Genomic DNA, 6,977 nt, shown 5'->3' on the forward strand with positions numbered 1-6,977 from the left:
TCCCCTGAATCTCTGGTACATCCCCTCCCTTCAAAGCACACATCTTGATTTTAATTATAGGCTTATTTATGTGTTTGTTTAATATTAGTCCTCTCCCCACCTCTGCACTGGTTTGAAAGCTCCATGAGAACGGGGAACATGTTATTAGTCAGTCACCATTATACATTGTCACCATTAGCAATGTTTGCTAAATGTGAACAAACGGTGTCTGTTGGCTTCTGAATGATTAATTCACAGTCAATAGAAAGAACCTTGTAGGCCTGAAGCAGTCCGGTAACTCAGCTCACAGTAGCCACAGGCCAATGGAAAAATGGACTGCAGCCATGTGTCGTGCTCATGCCATGGATCTTGTAGATTTGCTGTTGATCCACAGGAGTCTACTCTTTTATCTCATGTGTACTTCTGTTACACCATTGGAGCTATTTCATTTGGCTGTGTTATTGTTAGCAGCAGCAAAGAACCCAAGGCAATTGATTCACATAGCAGAAATGGTGACTGAGGTGGTTCTTCCTTTTGGGACTCTGACATCAGAAAGTACATAGTTGAGCGATGCCCTGAAACCCATGTGGGGGCCTCAACTAGTAATCTTGGAAGTGGCCCAGGCAGAGTCACTTTAGGGACATTCCCCAGAAGCTGATTGGATTGTTTACAGATATTCTGCTTCTCCTATCTCCAGGAAGGTGAAAACTTGCAATTCCTTGCCCACTTAAGGTAAGGTGTAATCATGAGACTTGCTTCAGCCAACAAAATGCTGGAAGTGACATCTGAGAAGAAACCTTTAAGACCAGTGTACATTTTGTCTTGTATCCTTCATTGCCACTGTAATAGACAGTTATCCAAACAGTAGAAGTTCCATCTGCCTAAATCCTTCAGTAAGGAGATATGGGACAGAGCCCTGTGCTGATGCTTTACAGCTGAGCAGCAAAAAAAAAAAAACACATGGCAGAGTTCTTAGTGTTGGGTGGACAAAGCTGTTAGCGAGTATCATCAGTTTCTTCCCCCTGCATTTATGGATCTCAGTGCAAGAGCTCATGATGATTAGCCTTGTGCTACTTGACCTTGTATGCATGGAGAATAAAACTTTTCCTTAGGAGACACAAGTATTTGGGGGTTGCCTGTTTTTGAAACATATCCGAGCCCATCTTGATTGATACATTATGTCTCAGGGTCTGATTTAAACATTTTAGGTATATGGAGTCATTTACTTTTTACAAACACACTGCAGAGAAGGTACTAGTATCTCCATTCTATGCATGTGAAAACCAAGGCACAGGCTGGGAAAAGTGGCTCACACCTATAACTTCAGCACATTGGGAGGCCAAGGTGGGAGGATAATTTGAGCTTAGGAGTTTGAGACCAGCCTGGGCAACACAGTGAGGCCTCATCTGTACAAAAAATTAAAAATTAGCTTGGCATAATGGTGCATGCCTATGGTCCCAGCTATTCAGGAGCTTGAGGTGGGAGGATAGCTTGGGCCCGGGAGGCTGAGGCTGCAGTGAGCCATGATTGTGCCACTGCACTTCAGCCTGAGTGACAGAGTGAGACCCTGTCTCAAAAAAACAAAAAACAAAACAAACAAACAAACAAAAAAACAAACCGAGGCATAAAGAGATTAGATGAAAAATCTAAAATGTAGTAGAGCTAGGATTCAAACCTAGAGAGTTTGGCTTCAGAGCCTATAGTCATGACCATGATGCTCCTGTTCCTCTTGATAACCCTCTGGCCTGCTATCTTTTGCTGTCTTCCTGCACCCTTGGACTTGATGCTGCAAATGACCTATCTTCATTCCTAGAGCTCTGAACTCTAGGCTCCTAGCTTGTCTGAGAAGGAGATAACCGAATACTCCTTGGAGAAGGTTCATGTACATCAACTGTCCTCTCTTTCTCCTATTTGAGCACTTGGAGTTTGAATACTCCATTTAAGATTCTATAACAGGACATCCAAATTCCAGGTTACCAGATTGAGACAAACCCTAACCAACTTATTATTTAATCAGTGACACAGAGGCAATTTCTTGTCCATCAATAGCTCAATCACTAACAATTAGAGATAAACGTATAGGAGCATAGGAGAGAAAATAAATGCATTTTGGGCCTTATAGTCACAGAATTACATTAATCATAATCCTTTTTTCTCATAAAATACTGTCATTTTTAATTTATTGACTTAACTTTCTTAAATAATATAAAATATTGGCAGTAGCTCACATGTGCTTATGTGCCCCTTCTGCATCACTTAACTTTCTTAAATAATATAAAATATTGGCAGTAGCTTACATGTGCTTATGTGCCCCTTCTGCATCCTGTCCTTTAGTGAAGCCCACCCGCTCTCCTGACTCAAGTGTATATCATTTATTCACTTTTCAACATGTAGTTTCACCATCTATATTCCTGAAAGATGTTTTAGGTTTTTTGTGCCTAGCTATTTTTAATCTTATACAAAAAATGTTATCCCGAATGCATTCTTCTTATTTTTTCCCACTCAATGTTCTGTTGCTAAGACATCTGTTGTGGCCGCTGGAATTCCTCAGAGATCTCTAACTACTGGGAGTGTAATTGACAAGAGCCCCACTTCTATGCTGCGTCCCCCATTGCTGAGTTGTCCTAAGGCCACATTCCCCACTGCTCCTGGGGCCCTGCTCCCAGCCAATGACTGAGTGTGGCAGAGGCATAGGGCAGCCCCATTCCTGGGAGAGATGGGGCTCCCTGACACCTGATGGCTTAAGGACACCTAGGTGGCCTTGCCAAGTCTTCCTTAGACCTAACAGCAATGTAGTTCACTTCCATTCCACCTTCTTTTCCTCTTGCCTAAATCTAGGTCAGACTTGCATGGTAGTCTGATGATTCCCCCACCCTTCCAGGGCTCCGTCTCCATTTTCTCTCATAGTCATTGCCCTTAAAAAAATTTTCTATGTTTAATCTCACCTTGTCATCTTCTTCTCAGAAACCTGGACAAAAGCAACATTCACATGTTGCATATAATTGAAATTCATTGTTTTGACTGCTGCATAATATTTAATTATGTGAATATACTAAGAAAGTGGATAAATACATTGTGGTATATTTATACATAGTCATGTACTGCATAACGACATTTTGGTCAACAAAAAACCTCATATACAACAGTGGTCTCATAAGGTTATAATGGAGCTCAAAAATTCCTATTGCATAGTGATGTGTGGTAGCCATGGTAACGCTATAGCACAACGCATTACTCGTGTTTCTGGTGATGCTGGTGTAAACAAACCTACTGCGCTGCCAGTCATGTAAAAGTGTTGCACAGGCTGGGCACCCTGGCTCATTCCTGGAATCCCAGCACTTTGGGTGGTCGAGGCAGGCGGATAGCTTGAGCTCAGGAGTTTGAAATCGGCCTGGGCAACATAGTGAAACCTCATCTCTATCAAAAATGCAAAAATTAGCTGGGCATGGTCATGTGTGCCTGTAGTCCCAGTTGCTCAGGAGGCTGATGTGGGAGAATCGCTTGAGCCTGGGAGGTAGAGGCTACAGCGAGCTGAGATCATGCCACTGCACTCCAGCCTGGGTGACAGAGTGAGACCCTGTCTCAAAAAAAAATTTTAATAAAAATAAAAATATAAAAGTGTAACACATACAATTATGTATGGTATGTATTACTTGATAATAAATGACTGTTACTGGTTTATGTATTTACTATATTTTTAGTCTGTATTTTATAATATACTCTTTCTACTTATTAAAACAAATGTTAGCTGTAAAACAGCCTCAGGCAAGTCCTTCAGGAGGTATTCCAAAAGAAGGGATTGTTACCATAAGAGATGACAGCTCCATGCATATTATTGCCCCTGAAGACCTGCCAGTGGGACGAGATGTGCGGGTGGAAGACTGTGATATTGATGATCCTGACTCTGCATGGTCCTACCCTAATGTGTGTGTTTCTGTTTTAGTTTAAAAAAAAAAAACTTTCAATTTTTTAAAAAAACAAAACATTTAAGAAGTAAAAAATAAAAATATAAATATAAAAAATAGAAAAAATTATAGTATAATGATATAAAGAAAGAAAATTTTTTTGTACAGCTGTATAATGTGTTTGTGTTTCAAGCTAAGTGTTATTACAATAGTCCAAAAGTTTTTTAAAAACTTAAAAGTTTGTAAAGTAAAAAAAAAATTACTGTAAGCTAAGGTTAATTTATTGTTGAAGAAAGAAACGTACTTTTTATCAATTTAGTGTAGCCTAAGAGTACAGTGTTTATAAAGTCTAGAGTAGTGTACAGTAATGTCCTAGGCCTTCACATTCACTCACCACTCACTCACTCACTCACCCAGGGCAACTTCTATTCCTTCCTGCAAGCTCCATTCATGGAAAGTGTCCTATATAGGGGTACCATTTTTTATCTTTTAGACCATATTTTCACTGTAGCTTTTTATGTTTAGATACACAAATATTAATACTTACCATTGTGTTAGAGTTGTCTACAGGATTCAACACAGTAACATGCATATAGTTTGTAACCTAGGAGCAATAGGCTATACCATGTAGCTAGATGTGTAGCAGGCTATAGCATTTCGCTTTGTGTAAGTACACTCTATGATGTTCACAAAATGACCAAATTGCCTAACTCTGCATTTTTCAGAAAATATCCCTGTTGTGAAGAAATGCATGACTGTAATTGAATATTTAGCTTGTTTCCAGATTTTACGATTTTGAAGAGTGCTGCTATTAACATCCTTGTACATGTTCAACAAGTTGTCTTAGATATATATCTGGAAATTTATGCATATATTATATATTAAATATATGTATATATTTACAGATACATATCTTTTATATATTAGATAAATATATGATACATAATATTACATACATTTAAAATATAAATATATTTCCAGGTAAATATCTTATATATATGATATGCTTATATATCCAGATATATATCTAAGATATATCTATATATTTATATATCTTACATATATCTAAATATATATGTAAGACAAATAGCCAGATATATATATCTGGAAACTACTGCTTTTTTTGTTGTTGTTCTGTGGCCCAAGCTGGAGTGCAATGGCATGAACTCAGCTCACTGTAATCCCTACCTCCTGGGTTCAAGCAATTCTCCTGCTTCAGCCTCCCAAGTAGCTGGGATTACAGGTGTGCACCACCACACCAGGCTAATTTTTGTATTTTTTAGTAGAGACGGGGTTTCACCATGGTGGCCAGGCTGGTCTCGAACTCCTGACTTTGTGATCTGCCCACCTCGGCCTCCCAAAGTGCTGGGATTACAGGTGTGAGCCACTGCACCCAGCCATGAAACTACTGCTTTTTAAAGAGTTTGTACACATTTACATTTCTACCAGCAAAGTAGAGAAGATTTTGTGGTTCCATATCCTTTCCAATACTCAATATAGTTGGGCTTTTTTATTTTTGCTAATTAAATGGATATAAAATATATCTCACTGTGGACTTGACAGGTAATTCCCTCTGACTGAACATCTTTTTATGTTTATTTCCTCTTCTGTAAAATGCCTATGTATGGCTTTTGCTATTTTTCTTCTGGAATGTCTGTTGTTTGTGACAACTTTGAAGGAGTTTTTAATATGATCCTGATATAAATTCATCATCAGTTACATGTATTGAAAATATCTTTTTCTAATCCAATTTGTAAGTTGTCTTTCACATTCATAAGGTTCTGTTGATGAACAGAAGTTTTTAATATAATAACATTTATCAATTGTTAATTTTATGGTTAGCATTTTTGTTGCTAAATTTTTTCTTATCTCAAGATTAGAAGGATATTTACTTATCTTCGCTCCTTAAAAAAAGATAGAAGCTTAGCTTTTGTTAGTTATCCCTGAGTAATCTGTAATTATTTTTGTGTGTGGTGTGAACTTAAGAACTAATTTCACTTTTTTCCCGTAGCTATTCTTTTCCCCCGTCCCCCAGGTTAATTTATTAAATTGTCTTTTTTCCCTACTGACCTTCCATACCAGCTATCTCAAATATCAAAGTTCTATATATTCAAGGGTCTCTTTCTGGGTTCTCTATTCTAATCCATTGACCAGTTTGTGTCTACACTAGTAACACCCTATCTTAATATAGCTGCTTATGAGTCTTGATATCTGGTAGTATAAGTCCATCTTCCTCATTCTTACTCCTTTAAATTTCTTGGCTAATTTTGATCCCTTTATTCTTCCACATAACTTTTTAAACCCTCTTTTAGATTACATTTTCTAGGTATTACTTGCTACTGTATAAGAATGCAGTTGACTTTGTATTAAAACAATTCTGGTGAAAATAATGATCATGATAGCAACTATCTATTCAGTATTTCAGCTATCATTTACTTAGTACATATTCTCTGCTGGCCATGATGCTAAGTGCTTATGTGCATTTTCCTCCTTTATTCTTAACACAGGCCTGTGAGTTTGAAAATAGCTAGCAGATTAGAAAACCAAGGTACAGAGAAATGAAGCGCTTATCTAACATCATACAATTAGACTGTTTAGTAACTAGGATTCAATCTTAAACTATTCTGACTTTAAAGCGTTCACTCTTAATTTATACAGGTTATGACAGTGTCCTTAGGTTTCAGGAGAAACAATAATAACAAAACAAACATCGACCACTCCATCATTTCTCAGCATTTTCTATTCTCCCAATTAGAGCTTCCATATACAGATGATATCTTAAATGTGGTTTACATTGACCATCTATAAAAGGTGTGAAAAACTGGTTCTCTAAGAGTACGGTCTCCAATGTCTGTTTAATAGATCAGTCCTTGCATTCTTCACTGGCTACAGCCTCCACATATTTCAGTCTGTCCCTGTTATAATCAAGATCCCATGATTTAAGAGGGGTTAAGGAGAGGGCTGTGACTCCCAGAATCTGATTTCTTCTCAGAGAGAGTTGTTCTGCTTTGTTTATTTTTATGTGGTTTTACTGATCATATGTTAAATGTGGCACACACAATTCAGCCAGCCTCGTGATTAGCAAGGGAATGC

The sequence above is a fragment of the Homo sapiens genome, chromosome 1 (assembly GCF_000001405.40).
Source record: "Homo sapiens chromosome 1, GRCh38.p14 Primary Assembly".
Lineage (NCBI taxonomy): Eukaryota > Metazoa > Chordata > Mammalia > Primates > Hominidae > Homo > Homo sapiens.